General features: G+C 47.5%; 1 protein-coding gene and 1 pseudogene across 5 annotated transcripts in view; both read right to left on the reverse strand.

The window, feature by feature from the left end:
* The window catches only part of SLC7A8 (solute carrier family 7 member 8), a 58,366-nt gene that overhangs the window by 18,240 nt on the left and 16,199 nt on the right, over positions 1 to 23,927 (reverse strand). For 2 of the 5 annotated variants that reach the window (NM_001267037.2, NM_182728.3), the window contains exon 1: positions 10,725 to 10,859. Coding sequence is in view for 2 of the 5 variants with exons in the window: in NM_012244.4 (NP_036376.2) it covers positions 21,751 to 21,902; positions 22,802 to 23,006 (357 nt within the window). In the remaining 3 variants the exon portion in view is untranslated. Of the gene's footprint in view, positions 1 to 10,724; positions 10,860 to 11,631; positions 11,925 to 21,750; positions 21,903 to 22,801; positions 23,007 to 23,927 lie in introns of those variants that run through there. The other 3 variants (NM_012244.4, NR_049767.2, NM_001267036.1) reach the window with 3 other exon arrangements.
* Positions 12,775 to 12,880, reverse strand: RNU6-1138P (RNA, U6 small nuclear 1138, pseudogene; annotated as a pseudogene).

The following is a 23,927-nucleotide window of genomic DNA, read 5'->3' on the forward strand; positions in this document are numbered from 1 at the left end:
TTGTGCAAGAGAAGCTGTGAGCAGCTGGTGGGAGTCAGGAAGCCACCTTCCTGAGCCTGATTTTGGGGTAACAGAGGCTTAGGGGAATCTTATGTTACTTAGGTTTATTGAGATATAATCTACATCTTACTAAAACTCACCTTTTTAAAGTGTACAGTTTGATGAGATTTGACAAATGCATTTAATGGCTTAATCACTTCAGCACTTCATATATAGAACATTCCCAACACTCTAAAAAGTTTCCTTTTGCATCATGCTCCTTTGTAGTCAGTTAGGCAAATCTTCTTCCCCTACCTCTACAACCATTACTTTGACTTCTGTCCCTATAGCTTTGTCTTTTTCAAAATGTCACATAAATGGAATCATATAATATGTGGTCTTCTGTGTTTGGCTTCTTTCACTTCACAGAATGCTTTCGAGATCTACTCATGTTGTTGCATATATTACAATTTGTTCCTTTCTATTGCCAAATAGCATTCTATGATATAAAGGTATCTGTTTGTTTTTCCATAGACATTTGGGTTGCTCACAGTGTGGGACTATTATGAATAGAGTTGTGATAAATACTTGTGTAGATGTCTTTTTTCTTTTTGTGGATTGTAGAGATCTTTGAGTGGGGTTTTCATTGCTCTTGAGTAAATCCCCAGGAATGAGATCCTGGGCCATAGAGTAAATGTGTTTAACTTTCTAAGAAACTGCCAAACTGTCTTCCACAGTGGCTGTCTCATTTTGCATTCCTACTCTCATGTCAGAGTTCCTGTTGCTCTGTATCTTTCCCAGCATTTGGTATTGTCAGTTTAAACACAATTTTTTTTTTTTTTTTTTTTTTGGCTAATAGGCATGTAGTTGTATTTCATTATGGTTTTGATTTGCATTTCCCTAATGGCTAATGATGTTGAGCAACTCTTCATGTGCTTATTTACCATCCATTTACAAATCTTCTTTGGTGGCATGGGGAGTTGTAATTCTCTACAAAAAATTTTAAAAATAAGCTGGGTGGTGTGGTCGCTCTGACTTCACTTGAATGGCTGATCAAGTTTTATCAGTACCGTATTCTTATATGGTACTTCTACTTTCCAAGTATTTCCCAACCTTATTTGATGCTGAGAACATTTGGTTAGGGTAGGATGGTCCTGACATTAACCGTCTGTAACCTTCCTTTGTGCGCCATCTCCACCTGGCAAACCCCTTCTCCTCTTTCAAGATCCAGCTTAAATGTCACCTGTTCTGTGAATCTCTATAATTCAGCATGTTATTTATTCCTAACAACATGCCTGCAAGGGAAGATATATCAGCTGTGTTTTGTAGACGAGGAACAAAGTTTGTTCCTTCTCTCTAGAACAATCCCAGACCACTTTGTTTATATCTAATGTTGGGATGTATTTCTTTTTTCTTTTTCTTTTTTTTTTTTTTTCTGAGACGGAGTCTCACTCTGTCGCTCAGGCTGGAGTGCAGTGGCGCGATCTCGGCTCACTGCAAGCTCTGCCTCCTGGGTTCACGCCATTCTCCTGCCTCAGCTGGGACTACAGGCGCCCGCCACCACACCCAGCTAATTTTTTGTATTTTTAGTAAAGACAGGGTTTCACCGTGTTAGCCAGAATGGTCTCGATCTCCTGATCTCATGATCCTCAGCCTCCCAAAGTGCTGGGATTACAGGCAGGAGCCACCGCCCGGCCGGGATGCATTTCTTTGTATTAAAATGACCTGCTTCTGGCCGGGCATGGTGGCTCACGCTTGTAATCCCAGCACTTTGGGAGGTCAAGGTGGGCAGATCATGAGGTCAGGAGTTCGAGACCAGTCTGGCTAACACAGTGAAACCCGTCTCTACCAAAAATACAAAAATTAGCTGGGCGTGGTGGTGGCGCGCCTGTAATCCCAGCTACTCAGGAGGCTGAGGCAGGAAAATCACTTGTACCCGGGAGGCGGAGGTTGCAGTGAGCCGAGATTGTGCCAGTGTTCTCCAGCGTGGGTGACAGAGCTAGACCACATCTCAAAAAAAAAAGAAAAAAAAATTTTTTTTTTTTTAAGACACCAAGGGCAAGTAAATGTTTTCATGTTTTTAAATCTCAGGACTTATCATTGGCGCCTGCAAATAGTAGATGCTCAGCAAGTATTTAATAAATGAATTTTAAAATATCACAATTCATTAGCCTTCCAATATCATCTCAGTCTACACATTCCACAGCGCACATCAACCTCTTCTGCTCCCCAGGAACCCCATCAAAAGGAGACACAATCCCTAGTTGGCTTCATGTTGCCAAAGGGCAACAGGGAACTTGACTTCAAGAGCAGAAGCTCCTGACTCCTCATGGAAGAGCTATTATCCAAGATGATGTCATGCAAGGAGAAGCAAAACATGTTGTCAGAGGAAGGATTTTAAGTGCCCGAGCAGGGAGAACACTTTGTAAATACTCAAATGTTCCAGACGGACTGACATCCTGATAAATACACATTTGGTTTGTCTTACTCAATTCAATAAGGATTTCAGGATCATGTGCCTGGTGACAAGCCAACCTAAGTCACTCTAAACAACTGGGTCTGTGATCTCAGCTTCTTCCCTAGGCCCCAAGGCATGCAAGGTACAAGGCTGCGCCCCTTCACCCAGGAATTCAGGCAGACACAGCAGTAACTCAAGGATAAAGGAGATTGATAAAAGGAAGGAAGGAAGATTAGGAAACAAACCCCATAAGCCTCAGGGATAGGTAAGGATTACACAACAAGGAACTGGATCTTGATCTCAGGGAAGAAAATCCTTCTCCAAGGGGAGGAGAGGGGAGGGCGAGGAAATGACAGAAAGTGCTTGAGGAAAATAAGGGCAGAGCAGGACAACTCAAAGAAATTCCTCCTCCCCCAAGCAGACCACCTCCCTGTGTGCTGGGAAAGAAAACATGAAATCATCTCTTTACAAGATGGACCTTACTGAGTCACAGAAAGACACCTTCAAACTATCAGCTCTGTGGTCTTCCTGGGGTAACAGAGATAGGGATGCTTTGTAAAATAACCTATCTGTGGCTATCTTCTGTCTTGCCTAACCTTATCTCCATCACTTCCCAAGAACTCAGCCCTTGACTAATATTTAACCTTTCACCTTCACAGTAATCTTTCAGAAACAAGAAGAAATTCTGAGAATGAGGTGGGGATAGGCAGGCTGCCTGTGACACCTAATCTCCTTGGAACAATGGCTGCAGGCCCCAGATCTGGCCCTTCACCCTGCAGTTGGGTGATCATACCATGTGACTGAGGGGAAAGAGGGTATCAGTCTCCTGGTACCACAAGACAGCTTCCCTCACAGCAGGCTGAAACCTGAGCCTCCACCCAGAGAGGAAAGGTCAGTGGGTGCTCGCCAAGCTCCTGCCCCGGTCAGGAGCCCTGCTGCTGGCTAGCTACTGCTTGGCACTTGTCTGTTGCGGACGATGATATTCTAGAACCCTCTCTTCTCGGCTAGACCCTGAATTCCGCATTCCTGAGACACAGTGACCTCAGGGAAGCCACATGTAGATGAGGATCATTGGCCATAGCAGCTTTGAAATGTGAGGGGCTTTTTATCCATCCATCCATCCATCCATCCATCATAGATCCATTCACCCATCCACCCATCTAGCCATCATCCATGCATCCATCCACCCACCCATCTATCCATCTATCATCCATCCATCCACCCACCCATCCAACCATCCATCATCTATCCATCCATCCATCTGTCTATCCATCCACCCATCTACTCATCCGTCATTCATGCAGGGCCTACATGTACTAGGCATTCTAGCTGGTGGGGAGGTTATTGATAAGACACAAGTCCCTGCCTTTAGGAAGTTGGCAGTATAACAGGGACGACGGGTGAAGTAAGAGATGCCCACAAAACAACGAGGTGATGGCAAAGCTATTCACGGAAGCTAGTGGGCATCTATGAGGAACCACTAACTCAGCCCAGGGGAATCAGAGATGCCTTCTATAGGAGGAGGAGACCCTGGCAACATGGAGAAATTTATAATCCTGGTCCAACTGGACAAAATAAAAAGTCATAAGACTGGTTCTTGTCCGTTGTAACCTAGTTGCGGGAGTGGTTACTGCTTCTTTAGAGGCCCTCATGGAATTCCAGGCTTGTATGTATTTTTTGGGCATTTCCTCCCCTCTTTCTTTCTTGCTTCCTGGGTAAAAAATAAGATGAAAGACTATTAAGAAGACAAGAGTTCAAGAAGATGCTGAAGTCAGGGGCTGGTTACTTAATCCACCCAGTTTGAAGAACTCAACATCAAGGTGACAGAAGAGATACAAATAATGAGTCAGGCAGGAGGAGGAAAACTCAGATTCTAGCAACCTGGAACACTGCCCAGAGTCCAGGGCCTCCCAGCTGCCAAGCAGGAGAGATGGGCTCAATGCTTTCTGCAGGACTGGCAGAGGGATTCAGAGTCCTCGCTGCAGACCTGCAACTGGCTTGCTCACTGTGGAGGGCTGGGTTCCCTACAGAGAAGGTGCCCTCAGCCCCATCCCAGCTCTGATCCCAGACTTTGATCTCCAGGAATTACAGAAGTCTCTCCTTCACTTCCTCCCCTTGGCAATGACAGCATATCTCTTTGGGATGGGGGGCAGTTGAAGGCAGAATTATGGCCATCCAAGATATCAACGTTCTAATCCCTGAGATTTGTGACTATGTTTTTTAAATGACAAAAGGAACTTTGCAAATGTGATTAAGTTAAGGATTTTTTTTTTGGAGACAGAGTTTCGCTCTTGTTGCCCAGGCTGGAGTGCAATGGCGCAGTCTCAGCTCTCTGCAACCTCTGCCTCCCATGTTAAAACGATTCTCCTGCCTCAGCCTCCCAAGTAGCTGGGATTACAGGTGTCCGCCACCACGCCTGGCTAATTTTTGTATTTTTAGTAGAGACGGGTTTCACCATGTTGGCCAGGCTGGTCTCGAATTCCTGAACTCAGGTGATCCACCCACCTCGGCCTCCCAAAGTGCTGGGATTACAGGCCTGAGCCACCGCGCCCAGCCAAGTTAAGGATCTTGAGATGGGGAGATTATCCTGGATTATCCAGAGGGACCAGTGTTGTCACAGGAGTCCTTTCAAGAGGGAGGCAAGAAGGTCAGAGTTATAAAAAGACATGTGATCATGGAAACATCAGACAGAGAGAAAGAGAGATTTGAAGATGCTACACTGCTGGCTTTGAAGATGAAAGATGGGGCCATGAGCCAAAGAATGTGGGAGGTCCCTAGAAGCTAGAAAAGGCAAGGAATTCTCCCCAGAGCCTCCTGAAGAAATTCAGGCCTGCTGACGCTAGAGTTTAGGACTTCTGACTTTCAGGACTAAGATAGTACATTTGCATAGTTTTAAACCACTAAGTTTGTGGTTACTTGTAACAGTAGCAATAGGAAATGGATACCAGACAGACATTATACAGAAAGACCAGACAGCAGGGACATACCCTTAAAGAGAAAAGCTTTTAAACAGCAGCCAGGCAACACACACCAGGAGCCCAAAAGAGTGTCTGTCCACAGGCCTTGCGGGACACCAGATGGAGGGAAGGGATGGCGCTCTCTAGAAGAGGGTAGTGAAGGTGAGGTCACTAGTGTGTTCACCTGGTTAGCAAAGTTCCACACCACATAGCCGCTTCGCACTTCTTCCAGCTTCCCAACCCTAGTTGGGATCCCACAGCTAGAGTGTTCCTATTTCCTCTTCCTCCATTTGGTAATTCAATACAGTAGCAAACAGCCTTGCCTTGTAACTCTAGCAGTGTTTTTCCTCTTTCCTTTTAGAGAAATCCAGGGCAAAAGATACAATATCCCTCCTTCATCTAATCCAGGTTCTCCCCCAGTCTCCCCTGTATTCCTTACAACTTCAGGCCCACCCACACAACCCAGATACGCAAACACTGGCCCAAGAATCACTAACTTCTTGCAAGGCGAGTGGAGTGCCAGGATGTTCACAGACATGAATCCTTTATTTTCTGCCCCCATGATTTTGTTGGTCTCCTTATTTCACTGGCCAGAAGCCACAATCAAAGGCCATAAAAGAAGTCAAGATAGAAAGCTACGAGATTATTATCCCAAGAGTCCTGAGTCTGAGTACACTCTTCACATCAGAGGGGACAGAGTGGCCCCACCGTGTACTGTCCTGTGGTAGACAACACCAAAAACACCTTGGAAGAGCTTGTCCTGTATCCTTCCGGGCTCAGTCAACCCATTTTTAACCCTAAATCAATATACAGTCATGTGCTACATAATGACATTTTGGGCAACAACAGACTATTTATACCTTGGTGGTCCCATAAGATTATAAGACCATATTTTTACTGTATCTTTTCTCTGTTTAGATATGTTTAATGCACAAATACAACTGCCTACAGTGCTCAGTACAGTAACATGCTGTATAGGTTTGTAGACTAGCAGCAACAGGTTACACCATGTAGCCTAGGTGTGTAGTAGACTATGCCACCTAGTTTCATGTCAGTACACTCTATGATGTTTGCATAATGACTAAATCATCTAAGGATACATTTCTCAGAATGTATCCCCATCATTAAGCAATGCATGACAGTATTATAGATTATAGGTAAAAGAGACAATTTAAAATTAATTTCTTTAGTGCCTTTTGAAATAGAACACCAATGAATCATTAGCATAAACAAATAAATCTTCATTTAGAAGGTTTTAAGGATGGGTTGGGGAGTCGTGGAGCTGGTTTTAAGTCCCTGCAATCGTCCAGAGCTGAGGCTGTGATCTTATCACTCTTCCCCTCAACTCTACCTAGTAGCACCTGGTAAGTGAAGGATGATGTGGGTTTCTGGAGTCTTTTTCGGGCGTGGAACAAGTGAACGGAGCTCAGAGGAGCTTGTGTAAGGTGTGAAGTGGTAAGAATGGGGAGGAGGATCACCAGCAGCATGAAGGGAAGGAGGCAGAGTCGGCTCTCTCAGAGGGACCTGGCAGGTCTGAATCTGAGAATCACAGAACTTTTGAACTTGAGGAACTCAGCGGCCATGGTGCCCTTCCCAGCTTAGTCACGTACTCTCAGTTAACCTCTCTGAGCCTCCCTTTTCTCCATGTAAAACCTATGGTCCATTTGAATCATGTGACGATACTCTGTATCCTGTGTATTGTTGCATAAAATGTTAAATGATTATTTTTATTGTTCATCTTAAGAAACTGCAGACTAAGAAAGTCAAAAAGAGCATGTGATTTGCTCAGGATCATGCTGACACTCACAGGCAAAGCAGAGTGGCGGGGAATGGGAATGGTTTGAAGGATTTTAGAGACCATATCATGCATCAGACCACATTGTACATCGTGCCCCTGACCCTTCTCAATTTCTAATCTGTTTCATCTTTTTCTCTGGAGGATGCTCCTTCACAAATGACCTGCTCTGGGGTCCTTCAACCCAGCTGTCTGGAAGTTGGGAGTGGGTCACAGGTACAGGCTGTGGGGCTGGGGAGCACAGGCTAACGCACTGGACCAGAAGCCCAGATGGTCAAACATATTCCCGTGCCTCAGTTTCCACTAGTGAAGAAAATACCACCAGGTCTTATAAGTCACGTGCCTCTGTCTGCTAGGGAGGAACACCCTGCAGAAAGCTGAAGAGCTGTGCGGTTGCTGCCCGTGCTGCCCCACTCCTCAGGCCCCACGGAGACTGTCCACAGCCAGCGGTGCACACGCAGCCATAAACAATCCCCTGGTGGCTGGTGTGGCCTTGAGGTCCTGTCTGGCACACAGTAGGCGCTAAAGCTTACTGAATGGAAACGACAGATAGATACATCTACACAGAAAATTCAAGGAGGGTGCACATAGAAGCCACCGTGCTGCTCTAGGGAGTAAATATCAGGTTTAATATGTCATAGGATGGCCCATGAAGCAAGGCCAGCAAGTGCCCCGGATGCCAGACAGAGTTGTGGGGAGAGGGTACATATTGTGGCTGTCTCTCCTTCCTCTAGGAAAGCTCACAAAGTACAGCCAGGCACAGTCACTGACACCTGTAATCCCAGTGACAGTAGAGACTGAGGTGGGAGGATCAATTGAGGCCAGAAGTTCGAGGCCAGCCTGGGCAACACAGCAAGATCCTGTCTCTTAAAAAATAACAGAAAATTAGCCAGATGTGGTGACACATACCTGTAGTCCCAGCTACAAGGGAGGCTGGGGTGGGAGGATCACTTGAGCCCAGGAATTCAAGGCTGCAGTAAGCTGTGATTGTGCCATTGCATGCTGGCCTGGGTAACCCTGTCTCTTAAAAAAAAAAAAAAAAAAAAAAGCAAAAAGCTTGCTGGGCACAGTGGGTCATACCTGTAATCCCAGCACTTTGGGAAGCTGAGGCGGATAGATCACTTGAGTTCAGGAGTTTAAGACCAGCCTGGCCAATATAGCAAAACCCTGTCTCTATTAAAAACACAAAAATTAGCATGCCTGTAATGCCAGCTATTCGGGAGGCTGAGAATCACTTGAACCTGGGAGGCAGAGGTTGCAGTGAGCCAAGATCGTGCCACTGCACTCCAGCCTGGGTGACAGAGATTCCACCTCAAACAAAACAAAACAAAAACAAAACAAAACAAAAGCAAAGAAAAAAAAAGCTCACTAAGAGTACACGTTATTCCCAGAGAGAGACTACTTGATAACTGTTTTCTTTTTTTTGAGAGCAGTCTCATTCTGTCACCCAGGCTGGAATGCAGTGGCCTGATGTTGGCAAACTACAATCTCTGCCTCCTGGGCTCAAGCAGTCCTCCCACCTCAGCCTCCTGAGTAGCTGGGACCACAGGCATGTGCCACCACGCCCAGCTAATTTTTTGTATTTTTGGTAGAGATGGGGTTTCGCCATGTTGCCCAGGCTGGTCTTGAACTCCTGAGCTCTAGCAATCTGCCCACTTTGGCCTCTCAAAGTGCTGGGATTACAGGCATGAGCCACCAATGTTTTCTTTTTTTTGAGACAGGGTCTTACTCTGTCATCCAGGCTGGAGTGCAGTGGCATGATGATGGCTCACTGCAGTCTCAACCTCCCCAGACTCAGGTGATCCTCCCACCTCAGCCTCCTGAGTAGCTGAGGTGTGTGCCACCAGGCCCAGCTAATTTTTGTATTTTTTGTAGAGACGGGTTATGCCAGGTTGCCCAGGCTGGTCTCTAGAACTCCTGGGCTCAAGTGAGCCACCTGCCTTGGCCTCCCAAAGTGCTGCGATTACAGGCATGAGCCGCCACACCCGGTGATGTTTTCAGGTGCTCCCTTGCTTTGGATACAGGACTCTGGCTTCTCATTGAGCTGGGCCAGCAGGGGGTCATTTTGTGCCTCCCTCAGGGAGCCAATGAACATTCCCACATGGATCCCTGAACCAATCTCATTTCTTCTACTAAGCCAGCTGCCACTCGATGAGCCACACTATTCTGGTCTGACAGGGTAAAGGTTGGGATAGGGCCACCTGGATACGGGGCTGGATTGGTTGTTATAAGGACAGTGCTAAGAAGAATGAACCAGTTGGGACTCTCCTTGTAGTCAACTCTTGGCCCTAGAGGTAAATATTTGAAGCCTGCGCCCTACCACCCAAGGCTTGTGTCCAGCCTCATGGGTGATCAGAAGGCAGGAATGACCTTAGAGACCCAGAACCTCATTTTATTTTTCTTTTACAGATGGGAGTCTCATTCTGTCGCCCAGGCTGAAGTGCAGTGGCATGATCATAGCTCACTGCAGCTTCCCAGTCCTGGGCTTGAGCGATCTGCCTGACTCGGCTTCCCAAAGTGCTAGGATTACAGTTGTGAGCCACCATGGCGGCCCCAGAACCTCATTTTATATGTGAGTGAATTTAGACCCCAGCTAATTCGCAGCAAAGACCAGACTGGGACAGCCCAATTCCCAGTTGCTTGTTCTGCCTCTGCCCCGCCTTCCTTCATTATACACAGATCACTCTGCTTTCCCTTGGCCGCTCCCACATCATCTCTCCTCCTGCTTGGGTCAGTGGTACCCATGGTCACTACTGCCAGTGCCACTTGGGACTCTGGGTCTGTCACCAAGACACTGGTTAGCCCCAGCCTGGACTGCTTTCTGTGCAGCAGGAAGGAAGATGCCAATATGGCAAAAGGGGAAGACTTTCACAGTTATGCCTCAGAAACCAAGAAAGGTGCATCCATTGCTCCCAGGGCTTTAGAAAGTCATTTCCCACAGGGATCTCCACCTTGGGTCCCCTCCCACCAGCCCCCTTAATCAATGTCACAGTCACATGTTCCCTCCAAACTCCCGGAACTCCATTTGGATTTCTCGGTCTCGCTGGCTTGCACCTTTCTCAGGAGTGGACTGGACTGGCTTGGAAAGGCTTGGTTTTCCTTTAACATTTCCAGAACCAGGCCACTCCTCCTTGTCTGTTCAGATAAGTGAAAACAGGCAGTAGAAAGGGGGAAAAATGTCCAGACTTGCCAAAGTCCATAAAGACAGATGGTGAAGAAGAGAGGGAAAGAGCACAAGAAACCACAGGGCGGGAGAGAGCAAGGGGAGGACAATGCAGATGAGTGGGAGAGAAAAAGGGCTTGAGAGGAGCAGAACAGAGAGAGGCCAGGACTGAAAACAGCAAGATGGAATGTACTAAGCAGACGGTTGCTGAAAAAGGAAGCAGTGACGCCACTTTGTAGAAATCAGAACGCCCTGTTCCTCTCCAAACCTGCAAAACAGGCACCTTTCTGGATGGAGCTCCCCAGCCCTCTGAAACGCCATAAATTTCACCTGGGTCATGGCCTGCCAGAAGGGTTGGCTTCTCAGCCTCACCTTTTGCTGGGGCGTTCACTTCTCTGCCTTCTGCCACGCTCTGGCCAGCTCCCACAGACTCCCTCCCCTCCAGCTGGAGCAAAAGGGGTGAGGCATGTCCCTCCCAGCAGCCCTCTGGGTCTGGGTGCCCAGGCTGGAGGTTGGAGCCGCTGGGCAGGGAAGCCGGGCCTGTGGGGGCGTGGGTGTGGCTACGCTCGGCTCTGTGATTGGCTGCACCGAGTTCCTTGGCCGCCTCCCCCGCTTGTGGAAGGAACTGAGCACGTGTTTCTAATTGTGGAAAAGCCGCTTCGGCTTGGCCTGTCCAACCGCAGGCGTTTCCAGATCTAGGAGGTAAGCAGTGCCGGCTGCCAAAAGGCGCTGATAGGCAAAGAAAACACGGAGGCCTGTTTGACCTCTAACGCACACAACCCAAGGCTCTGATAAGGTTCCAGTTCTGCCCACGCAGGCCACACGGAACAGTCTTTCCTCGTCAAAGACCCAGAGAGGCCTGGAGGTGTGGGGGAGTGGGCAGACACGGATCCAGCTTCACAGAACCCTCCTAGAATCCTTCTCTATTCCCCGCCCACCCCCACCTCAAGACATTTTTTAGAGCGGGTGAGGGGCCCACATTATAAAGTCCTTCCGCACCTGGATTATTGTACATGTAACATAACTTGTCTGATAAAGTTATACATATAACTTGACTGGTGAAAGAGAAAAACGTTAAAAAAAAAAAACCCACAAAAAGCCACACAACAGACAAAAAAAAAAAAAAAAAAAAATCAAAGCAGCCCTTCCTCATAAACTGCGCTTTGATCCCAGCTTCTATAAAGTGCACAGTGGGGAGTGTGGTTTTGAAACAGATCTTGCCTATCGCACGATAGTAACATTTCCCCTTCTCCAGCCCTTTTCATCTCGAAGCACTTACAACGTTTTAGAAATCTCGGAACCCCCTCCAAAGGAGAGGAGGTGCTCTGAGCCTTCCGGAAGGGCCTCTCTCTTCCAAGGACACACCAGCAGAGGAGGAGGGTGCAGAGAAGCTGTGAGGGCTGTGAGTGCTCCTGGAGGCACACAGCTTTTACCAAACACTTCCAGCTAAGCTCCTGCCCATACTGCCCCATCCCCTCCCCTCCTCCCTTCCTGGCTCTCTCTTCCCCTTCCTTCTTATCCTGTTAGCTCCTGCGCCAGCTGCTGGAGCTGGGGTTTCTGCTGAATCACCACCCAGTATTTAGCTCAGCCAAGAGGCAGGAATACCCAGCTCAGCATTTTCCAAGAGCTGAGTAGTTCTCTCTTCAGCATGAGCTAAACATGGCTCCTCAGCTGGCCTGGATCGGGGAGAAGCGAAAAACTGGACACCAAGAAATCCAGGGTGGCCTGCCATGCCACCCTGGGGAACCCTATTTTAATCCTACTCATTACTTTTTCAGCCTGGGCCTGAAAAATTGCTATCTCACACACCAATTCTCAGGGCTGATGTCCCCCGAGACATGGAGCAAGGTGGATGAGAATGGGTTCTGTTGAGTCTGCACTGAGCCCAGGAGGGCTAGCCTGACCCTCCATCATATTTCAGTCTTGGAAGACAGGGTGTGGATCCTGTGAGGTTTAGTTGGTTCTTGGACCAGAAGGCTTGTAGGCTCTGTTGGTGTTCACTAAATTCTATAAACCTGGACCCAGGCTGCAAAATTCCCCCAAAACGGTTCAGTTATAACCCAATTCCAAGGGTAGCTTGTACTTAAACTTGCTGAACTCTTTTTTCTTTTCTTTTCTTTTTTTTTTTTGAGATGGAGTTTCGCTCTTGTTGCCCAGGCTGGAGTGCAATGGCACGATCTCGGCTCACCGCAACCTCTGCCTCCCGGGTTCAAGCGATTCTCCTGCCTCAGCCTCCCGAGTAGCTGGGATTACAGGCATATGTCACCACGCCCGGCTAATTTTGTATTTTTAGTAGAGACAGGGTTTCTCCACATTGGCCAGGCTGGTCTTGAACTCCCGACCTCAGGTGATCCGCCCTCCTCGGCCTCCCAAAGTGCTGGGATTACAGGAATGAGCCACTGCGCCCGGATATTTTTCTCTTTTTAATAAGGAACACTTTGTGAATTTGCATGTCATCTGTACATGGGGCCATGCTAATCTTCTCTGTACTGCTCCAATTTTAGTATATGTGCCGCTAAAGTGAGCACAACTTGCTGAACTCTTATAACAGAGATGCCCTTTTTTCTTTCCCCCAAAGCTCCAAGTACCACTGGGCCTCACTCCCATAAGCCTTCTGATTTTATGTTCTTAGGTATGTGATATAAATTTGGTGTGTCACATTAACCCTTAAAAGTTTACCAGACACAATTAATGGGTGACTTTATTTAAACCATGGGCCCTGGCTCCTCTGAGAAAAACAAAGTGATCCTTGACAGTCAGCAACAAAAGGCCAGAGAATTTAAGTTTCTAGGCTGGTACAAGAAAGTAGGCAAATCTCTACCACACCTGGTGGAAGCTGAACTCCAAAACAGTTTCCTGTTTCAGGAAACCTCAATCTCATTCACTGTTCTTCCAATCAGAAGTAGACATATTCCCAGAACAAGCCCCTCATTCCTCCATTTCCAGGGTGTGGGCACACACACTCTCTGAACAGCAGAACTTCTGTCTGAGAGTAGAAGCTGAAGAGCAGAAGAGACACTATGGGAATCAGGAAAGAGGAGGTGATCTGGGCCAGCAGTTGAAGCACATTGAAACGAAGAAGAAGGCTGACTTCTCAGGTAACTTACTTACTCTGCCATTGTAGACATAAGAGTCCAAAAGCACAGGGGATGCTTTCTCAAGTCCCAGCAAGTCTTAAGTGTTGAAGAGTGAGTAGAAAGGGTGACAAGGACAGAGGGGTCAACTTGACCAGTCTGAACCACACCAATTCAGATGATACAACAATACGTACAGACAATACGACCCAGTGTTGTCCTTGATTTACTTCACCTGTATCCCCAACAAGACCATGCAGTCCTTGACTCCTTCAACCTTAATCACCAAGGCCTACCAATTCTACCTCCTAAATGCCAAATGCATCTACTTTTCTCTACTCCCACTGCCCCAAGATGCACATGATAGTCATCTGCAATCTGAATCCTTACAACTGAATTGTAATCATCTTTTCTTGCCTCTGATCTTATTCCCCTCACCAATCCATCCTTTAGCTTTGCAGCATGACTCTCCTAAAATACAGATATGATCATGTCGGTCTTCTGTCTGAAACCCTTCAAACCTCATTCCTCCTAAGGGAAAGCCCAATCTCTTTATGGCCCATGAGGCTTTTCATGATGGGGTCCTTGCTTCTATTATATATTTCTTGCCTCCTAGTCTATGGTGTGGCTATACTGAACAACCTGTAGTTCCCACAAACAACTGTGATTTTTCCTGTCCTCAGACCTTGACACATGTTAATTCCTTCTGCTAGAACATTCTCCCCACCCCATTCTACTCCACCCTCCCTCCGTGCTGAATATTGCCTGACTATGTCCAACTGGTCTTTCAGTCTCAATTTACATGTCACTTTCTCCAAGAGCTTCTTCAACCCCAGTCCCATCCTCACTTTTCTTGCAGGAGCTGCCTGGATGCTGGCCTCCTGGGGAACTGGAACTCCAGTTTGAACTGAAATTCCCTGTATACTTGTCAGGAACATCCACTGGACTGTGGGTTCCTTGGTACAAAAACTAAGTATCCCCATGCCTGCCACAGTGCCTGGAGCAGAACAGACACTCAAATATTTAATAACGTATGACTGATTGTGTATTACCCGCGGCATCAATAGAGGACACACAGGTGGGTGTAGTATAATATGTGTTAAGAAAGAAGGCTAAATCTGCTGCTGCTGCTTCACATGAGAATGAGAGTCTTTCGGTTTATTGTTGTCTCCCCCGTGCCAAGAACAGTAACTAGCCCATCATGGGCACTGATAAGTGTTTGTTGAGTGAATAAAGTGTTGCATTTATATAACATTTCCCAAGAGTCCCAATCCCTTTCTAAGTTATACTGCTCTAGAGCAGGCAAAATTTTGAGCAGGATCCTGGGAGCACCACCCTGGGGAAGGTTCTAACCAGAGACCTGCTCAGCACCCCTCGGGGCTCTAGGGAGGACATGGAAGGCAGACATGGAGTCTAGCTCTGTCGCCCAGGCTGGAGTGCAGTGGCGCAATCTCGGCTCACTGCAACCTCCGCCTCCTGGGTTCAAGTGATTCTCCTACCTCAGCCTCCTGAGCAGCTGGGACTACAGGCCCCCGCCACCACGCCCAGCTAATTTTTGTATTTTTAGTAGCGACGGGGTTTCACCATATTGGGCAGGCTGGTCTCGAACTCCTGACCTCGTGATCCACCCGCCTCAGCCTCCCAAAGTGCTGGGATTACAGGCGTAAGCCACCGCGCCCGGCCGACATAGAACACATTCTAACTGCTTGTCATCAATGCTGGGAACATTTAAGTTGAAACGTATTTCATTTTGATTTGGGGACAAACTTGATTCCTTCCCTTAGTAGTCAATTAATCAATATGTCCAGCTGATTCTACTCCTAAATCTTTCTTGTTTTTGTCATCTCTCCATCCTTGTTACTTCATTCTTAGTTCAGGCTACCATCTCTCTGGCCTGGACAAATGCCTAGCCTGCTTGTCTCTCTGCTTCAAGTTTCAGTCTTTTCTTTCCCAAATGTGAACCTAATCATGTGACTCCTCTGCTCAAAATCTTTCAGTGATTCCCTGTTCCTTGGATAAAATCTACTTACCTTTCAACATTTAGCTCAAGCTGGGAGCCTTTCCAAGCACTGTCTTCCCAACTTTGAAGCCCCGTTCTCTGTGTTGCCCACATTTTTTCCCCATCACATTGTATTGTAATGATGTGTTTTTGCATACGATTCTCTTCACTAGACTAATCTTTTCTAAGACTCTATAAATCATACCTTATCTCCCCTTAGTGTAGGAGTTCAGTATGGTAATTAGCTGATGGATTTTTTTAGTTTCTTTCTCTTTTCCAAAAAAAATCTGCTTACAGAATAATTTTCATCTTAATGCATCATAAAAATGAAAAATGAGATGTTAGTCAAACTGTCCATTGAGTAAAAATCAAGAGATTTTCAATACATTTAGATTTTAAATGCTGGCTAGTTAGAAGGCGTACAGAGAAAAATGGAGTCTTGGATATATGGGAATCAAATGTAGGCCAGTCTGTATTTGTCTGAATTCATATAAACGAGGCTGATCGGATACCCGAAGAACTCTCTGGGGACTAGGGAAGGGCAAGAAGGCAGTGCTGCCCAGGTATCTGAAGGAAAATGTTTAGTGTCTGGGGAGGAGCAGTTTGGGGGTAGAGAATGTGAAGGCTCAAGGGAAAATAAACTGAGGTTAAGGGATTTAGATGATAGGAAAGACTATTGAATGCTCTGAGGTCAAGGGATTGATTAAATTTGCAAGAGACTTGCAAAACAACTCACGAGTTTCTCTGTGACAGCATTCTGCACCAGGCAGTTGGAGGCTTTCTGCAGAGGAATTGCAAAGCAACTCAGGAGTTTGAAGCAACACATGAAGTCCTTTCCTTTCCAAATAGCTCAAGGAAGAAGAGCTATCTGAAGCCCTGGAAAAAGCTAGCCTCTTAGGAATCTCAGTAGAAAGATAGAAAACAAGATTAGAAGCATTTTTTCCTTGAGAGATGCATACAGGATATTTCTTTCTCCTGAGGGTGAGGAAGGAGAAGGAACTTCTTTAGGTCAAGACATTCAGGGAGAAGTGGGGAACTTGAATAAAAAGAATTGATTCCACTTCAGGTGCTGGACATGACTCCAACCCCAAATGAGAGGAAGGAGGCCAGGAGGGGACTGAATGAAAGGTGATCCAGTCTCCAAGAGAATGGGGAGCAAACGGATCCCAAAGGAAAATGCAGAGTTGCACAGATGCACAGATGGAAGCCTGGGAAAGGGTGTCCCCTGGACCCAGTGCTTCCTCTGGATCATTGTGGATGCTTTGTTTACAACTAGAGACCCAGGTAACAGCCAAAAGATGTGGCTACAGGATAAAACGGCAAGCTGTAGGCCGGGTGGGGGTGGCTCACAGCTGTAATCCCAGCACTTTGGGAGGCCAAGGCGGGTGGATCACGAGGTCAGGAGATCGAGACCATTCTGGCTAACAAGGTGAAACGCTGTCTGTACTAAAAACACAAAAAATTAGCCGGACGTGGTGGCGGGCGCCTATAGTCCCAGCTACTCGGGAGGCTGAGGCAGGAGAATGGCGTGAACCCGGGAGGCAGAGCTTGCAGTGAGCCGAGATCGCGCCACTGCACTCCAGCCTGGGTGACGGAGGGAGACTCCGTCTTAAAAAAAAAAAAAAAAAAGGGCACGCTGTAGGAATAACCTGTCAGTACATAGGTCCATGCAGCCAGAGTTGTACAGTAATAGATGCACTTTATTTAGAACTATCCACTAGGACTGCAGCTACTGGCCAGCGGCTGATGATAAGGGCGGCTATCGCTGCTGGCTCTATATCTTACTTGGATCTTTTATATGGGGAATATAGTCATTTACTCATGAAATAATACAAAAGGAGAAAAACACACAAGCAGATCACAAAAGGTATCAAAACCAAGTTCTAACACTTCCCAGTCCCCTCCTAACTCCCTCCACTCCCACTAATATACTTGTTCTGGAGAAGAGAGAAAGGCTTTTTATTTAATTAAAATGTAAAATACTTTCTCTCTCTCTCTCTCTTTTTTTTCTTTTCTTTTTTTACTGCTGGGTGGCTAGGGATATTCTGCTGACTCAGCAGTGAGTAATCAGCTTTGACCTAAATAATAGAATAACTCGAAGTGGCAGCTGCAGTTGCATAAGTGTGATCCAAGTCTGCAGTTCCTTCCCTCTCCCTCTCCTCTCCCCGACCCGCTCAGGATCCGGCAGGCAAGCCAGTTTCAGCAGGTTCTTTCCACCTCTCCACCCCCACCACCTGGCTCCTCCCAACTTCATTTCTCATCAGTTCTCCTCCAAAACAGCCCCACCATGGAACCAGACTTGGCCTCATCTCCTCCCTCCCCCAGCAAACCCTCGCCACGGGCTTTACCACACAGGCTCTCCCTGCTGGGCCCTGTGCCCTGTCCTCCAGTGCCCTCCATTATACACCAATGACCTCTCCACAGAGGGTGGCCTTTCCTCAAAACCTCTCGCTTCACAGTCATCAGCATGTCGCCACAGGACAGCAGGAAGCAGAGTTCCCCATGTGCATATGTTTACGCCACACCGGAACTCTCTACTGCGTCTCTCAAAAGAGACACAGGCTGGGCTTATTTTATGTAGCTGGCTTGCCTGGCCCCTGCTAAGAGGATGAGGAGGGCTGGATGATGGTGGGGGTAGGTGGGTGGGTGGGAGGGGTGCTGGAATAAAAAGTACCAGCATTTAATGAAAGATAGCGTCTACCAGTCGGGCGCAGTGGCCTCACTTTGGGAGGCTGAGGCGGGTGGATCACTTGAGGTCAGGAGTTTGAGACCAGTCTGACCAACTTGGGGAAACCCCATCTCTACTAAAAATACAAAATTAGCTGGGCATGGTGGCTTATGCCTGTAATCCCAGCAACCTGGAAGGCTGAGGCAGGAGAATCGCTTGAACCCGGGAGGCGGAGGTTGCAGTGAGCCAAGATGGCGCCACTACACTCCAGCCTGGGTGACAGAGTGAGACTCCATCTAAAAAAAAAAAAAAAAAAAGCATCTACCAAGCCTTCCTGACAGCTTGGTTCTTGTTTTACTGAATACCGTATGAGAGGATTGGATGCTTATCTGGTATGGCCTGCCATAAAATTCAAAAAAAGAAGAGAGGATTTGAGGGGCCTATAGAAGTGGATTAAAAAAAAAAAGTATTCAACAAACCGGAAAACAGAACCTCTGTACACAGACTCAAAGCAGCTGGGAGTGTCAGGTATAAGGAAAGGGAGAGAGGAAGTTTGTTATAGCTAATGCATGTACGTGTGCACCCTGCCGGGCAGAGGGATGGCAGCTCCACATGGCCTTCACAGCTAGGAGGAAAGGGACACTGCAGCGGGACAGGTGTGGAGCTGGTTTCCATTTCCCCTAAAGGAAATAAGGAAGACTACGCTTGGGAATAAGAAGGATTTAAGATTTTTCTGCTTATGAAGGTAGACAAATATTTGAACCCATATTTCAAGGACATTGAAAATTCCTGTCTTTAGAGGACAAGATTGGCTACTGTTAAGTTGGAGATAATTTCCTTGCAGTTCTGCTGAGAAGGCAGAGGCCAAACTTAGATAAGCTTTATTGAATCTTTGACTACAGGAATAGAGGAGGGGGGTCTTGTCATTTTTGTCATCAGCCAGTTTCTAAATTTCTCCTTGGCTTGGTCCTTGCAGTGTCTAGGTGAGGGGAAGGCTGTGGAGAGGACTGTGCAACATGTCATTCTGGAGCAGGGCTACAGGCAGGTGGCGTTCTTATCTCCTAGGAGAGTTTGGACCTTTCTGGTCCGAGGGGACGCCAAAAAGGCTACACTACTTTGGAGGGTCTTTGTGCAAGAGGTCAAACCCTTGGCAGATTTGGGGAATGCAAAGAAAGCCATGGGGTCTGGCTGCCTGGGAACTTCTTCAACCTGTGGCCTGGCTCCTCTCCTAGGGTGCAAACTGAACAGCCTCGGGGGTTCTTGATTTCTAGTAGAAGGGTAAGGGTGGCCTCTTGTCTGAGACACTTTAGCAGCATCAGCAGGAAAAAGGAAGCTGTCTGTGTGCAAAGAAACACCAAAACAGCAGTAGCTAGCACTTCTGTGGCCTTGCCTCCCACCCTCCCATTAGCTGATCTGATGGCAGAAACAGCACTCTTCCTGCATTCCCACGCCCTCGCTCTTCCCCGCTCCCCATCTCAACTCTGGATCCAGCTAGGATGCAAGGATAAAGTGGCCCCAGCATCTTGCCCACCCCCAGTGACTGATATGACTGGGGTGCTGGGTGTCTAACACTGTGCTGAGGGTGTCCCCTTCCTTCTCTCTTGCAGTCCTTGTGACCACGACCTCTTGAGGCAGCTAGGATTACACTCCCCATCTCACAGTAGGGTGGACGAGTGATTTTGCCCAGCACTCACCACTGCAGTTAGAAATGGTGGACTGGAGATGCAGGCGCAGGCAGCCTGGTTTTGGAGCCTGCATTCCTCTGCCTCCAGATCTGTGAGCAGGCCTGATCAAACACAAGGAATACACCCCCAAACAAATGTCTTGGCCCCATATTGCAAATGGCCTGGGTGGTGGAGGTCTGTCCCAGGGTTGACCAGCACTGCCAAAGAGGGCTCACTTGCCAAGGAGACCGCCTCTTGGGTCCCAGCTGCCTGCCCTGTAAGAGGCTACTGAGGTGGGTGAGTGATCTCTTCCTCCCCCATCCCGTAACAGGACAGAAGGAAAAGTGTCAGGACCTGGGAAAGCATATGGCCAGGATGATCACTGCCCTCAGCTAAGTGTATGTGTGTTAGAAGCTATGGGAAGGCAGGGACCCAGTGAACCCTAGAGGTGGAGCCCCTGAAACATATCTAAGTATTTACTTTAGAAATTAGTTTTTGATTAAAGATGTAAAATACCCCAATCCATTGAGATGACTAATATCAGAGATAAAGCTTTGAGACTTCCTAGAAATACGGCTCTGCAGAACTTCTCTAGGAAGCCTCTCTAACCTATTCCAGCCCACAGAGATCTTTTCCCCTTCTCTGAATTTTATTGTTATTGTTGTTTTTAATTTCTTTTTTTTTTTTAGAGACAGGATCTCACTATGTTGCCCAGGCTGGAGTGCAGTGGCTATTCATAGGTGTAATCATAGCTCACTGTGGCCCAGAACTCCCAGGGTCAATCGACCCTCCTACCTCAGCCTCCCAGGTAGCTGGAACTACAGGTGTACACCACCATGCCTAGCTCCCTTCTCTGAATTTTTACTGCAATTGAATCCTAACCACAGTATCTGTCTATATGGCTTTTCTCCTAGTTAGAAAACTCATCAAGGGCAGGGATCATGGACAAACCCTTCTCCAAGAGAGTTAAAAGAGTGTGACTTGACAAGTTGAGGTAGAAGTAGATGTGGACCTACTGCCAAGAAGCCAGAGTAATCTTCCTAGGAGCAGCTGGGAGTAGCCAGCACAGTGCAGTGCACTGGACAGACAAGAAATCAGGAGCCCTTGCACTCCACGTGGCCTGCCTCCCTGGGCAAGTCATTTGCCTGGCTCTCTGTTTCCTTATCTGTTCTGGGAAAATGTTAACACTGGCCCAGCTTACCTCATGGACTTGTCATTAGGCCCAAATCAGATAATATAGGTGAAAGTGCTTTGCGTAATGTCAAGAACCCTGCCAGTGAAAATCATAGTGCCTCCAAGGAGCTACTTAAGTTTCTTTCTTTTTTTTTTTTTAACACCAGACAATTGTATGCAGAATCCATTCATAAAAAACACACTTGTAGGAAATTGAAAGAAAAGTAATGGGGAAAAGAAAAGGAGGCAGGGTGAGGTGGGTCAGGCCTGTAATCCCAGCACTTTGGGAGGCCAAGGCGGGCGGATCACTTGAGGTCAGGAGTTCAAAACCAGCCTGGCCAACAGGGTGAAACCCCATCTCTACAAAAAATACAAAAATTAGCCGGGCATGGTGGCTCACGCCTGCAATCCCAGCAACTCGGGAGTCTGAGGTGGGAGAATCACTTGAATCTGGGAGATGGAGGTTGCAGTGAGTGGAGATCACGCCACTGCACTCCAGCCTGGGTGACAGAGTGAGACCCTGCCTCAAAAAAAAAAAAATGGAGAGAAGTTAGGAGAGTCAGAGACATGTAGACCTCCAGGGAGGATAAAAGAGGCTGTCCCTCAGACTGGGTGCAGTGGCTCACACCTGTAACCACAACACTTTGGGAGGCCGAGGCAGGAGGATCACTTGAGCCCAGGAGTTCAAGGCTGCAGTGAGCTATGATCATGCGGCTGCGCTCCAGCCTGAGTGACAGAGTGAAGACTCTGTTTCTAAAAATAATAATAATAAATATAATAAAAGAGGCTGTCTTGCTACCAAGACCCAGATGACACTTACATAAGCAGATGGCAGCCAGGAGCCGAAGGCCAGACTCTGGGGGGAAGCAGGTGGGGAAGAGCGGCTGCAGCACGTAGTTGGAGAAGGTGAGGGCGATGACAGCCTGGTTGGTGGGGTAGATCACCAGCACAGCAATCCACAGCCTCAGGAACCTGAAGGAGGAAAGGGACATCCGCCGAAAGGCATGGCAGGGACGCAGAGCCATCAGGGGAGAGCCCGGGCAAGTCATGCATCTCTTTTTTATTTTCAAGGATGCTGAAGAGCCCAGCCTCTGCCCCCACCCACAAATGAGACACCCAGCCCTCTGCAGTGACAATAAAATGGTTTAATGAAGAGTTAAATTTCCACAAGCACTAACACAAGTCTTGGCGTTCTTCCTTTCTCTCCTCTCCTTTCATGATCTCTTCTCCATCACTGTGGCCACCAGCATCCAATGGTGGAAAAACAAAATTTGCAACCCCAGAATGTTGATAGACAGGACATACTAAGGGTGTGGTTACGTAAGCAATAATCAGGAGAGGTATCAAGTGGGGGTTTGCAGGGGAAGCGCCTTCCACACCTTTTGGCCCATTGGTGAGGGTTTACCAATGGCAGGGATGCAGAAATTGAGGAAATTTAAGATTAGGGCCCAGCTCTAGAGGGAGGCCATTATCCTTGGTAGTGTGAGAAGAGGGTGCACTCTACCTTAGCTGGCCACTCTCATTTGTCAAGATAGAAGGGCGTTGTTTTTGTGATGTGCTTTCTCTGGGAATCTATGGTCAGTGTTGTTACACAGTTCTGTTTGCTCTCACTCATAGACTCCTTCCCACTAAGATCAACATAGAGGTCAAAACTACAAACCTGGTCCTCCATCATTATCGGGAGCCTCAAGGGGATACAAGGCTACACTAGCAACCATGGCAGGAAAGCAGAAGAGACATTCCATTCACTAGCACCCCGTGGCACACTGGAGACTGGAAACCCCTGGCCTTGGCTTTTTCCAATCTGACCTCCTTCTGAATGTCTTCCTCCTTTTCCCCTAGACCATTCAGGTCTCCACAGATCCTCTTACCCAGCCAGTCCTCCGAAGATGTCCTTGACATAGGAGTAGTCACCTCCAGATTTGGGGATGGTGACCCCGAGTTCAGCATAGCAGAGGGCTCCCACAACTGTGATGAAGCCCGTCACAATCCAGACGATGAGAGCAAGGCCCACAGAACCAGCATTCTCCAGCACTCCCTTTGGCGAGACAAAGATTCCAGAGCCGATGATGTTCCCTGCATGAGGCACCAAGGGTAAGGAGGGGAGACAGTAGAGACAGGACGGTTGGCAGGATTGGCATTTGGAGGGTGGTCTCATTTCTGATCTGATTCTGAAATGCCTTGGATATATGTAAATGATCTGCAGGCAGGTGTGCCTAGCAATAATTCTCCCTGAAGTAGGGGAAAGAGGAGCAGAGAACTGACACTTATTGACCAGGAACTTGGTCAGGTACTTTCCACATCTCATTTAATCCTCAGGATGACACTATGGAATCAGATATTTCTCACATTTTACAGAGGAGGAAACTGAGTCTCAGAGATACCAAGTGAGTTGCCTAGGTCCACATCGCAGTAAGTGATGGTGAAGTATTGAATCTCAGGACCCTCCAGCTGAGCGACACGTGGTCCACCCAAAGTGACAAGGCCTTCAAGACTCTCTGAAAATGGCAGGGCTGGAAAAGTGGGCTGTTTTCAGAGACCACCTGCCACTGGAAGGCTTCAAAAATGAGCCAAAGGGCAATATTTTTTGGACAGATTGCGGTCATACCCCAAGACTGGGGGTTTTCAAGACTTACAAGTGTGGAAAACACTCCTGGAGGCTGGCTTCTACCCTAGACATGACGGCCCCACCCTTGGTGAAGAACATAAAATAACTCTATAAAAACAGTCCTAGTGGTTTAGAAGTGGTGTGTAGGAATGCAATACATACAAAGCCTCAGTACTGCATTCTTTCAAAGGTCATTACCCACCAATGTTTCATGTGACCCTCAAAACAACCTTATGGAATTCAGGGAGAGGAGAGGGGCAGGTACTTCCCTCTCTATTTTACAAACTAAGAGATTAAGACATAGAGGGGTTAAGTGGCTTTCTCCAAATTCCACAGCTACTGATGGGTAAAATTGGATCTAGAAGTCAGTCTCCTGATACTTAATCCGG

The sequence above is a fragment of the Homo sapiens genome, chromosome 14 (assembly GCF_000001405.40).
Source record: "Homo sapiens chromosome 14, GRCh38.p14 Primary Assembly".
In the NCBI taxonomy this organism is placed as follows: Eukaryota; Metazoa; Chordata; class Mammalia; order Primates; family Hominidae; genus Homo; species Homo sapiens.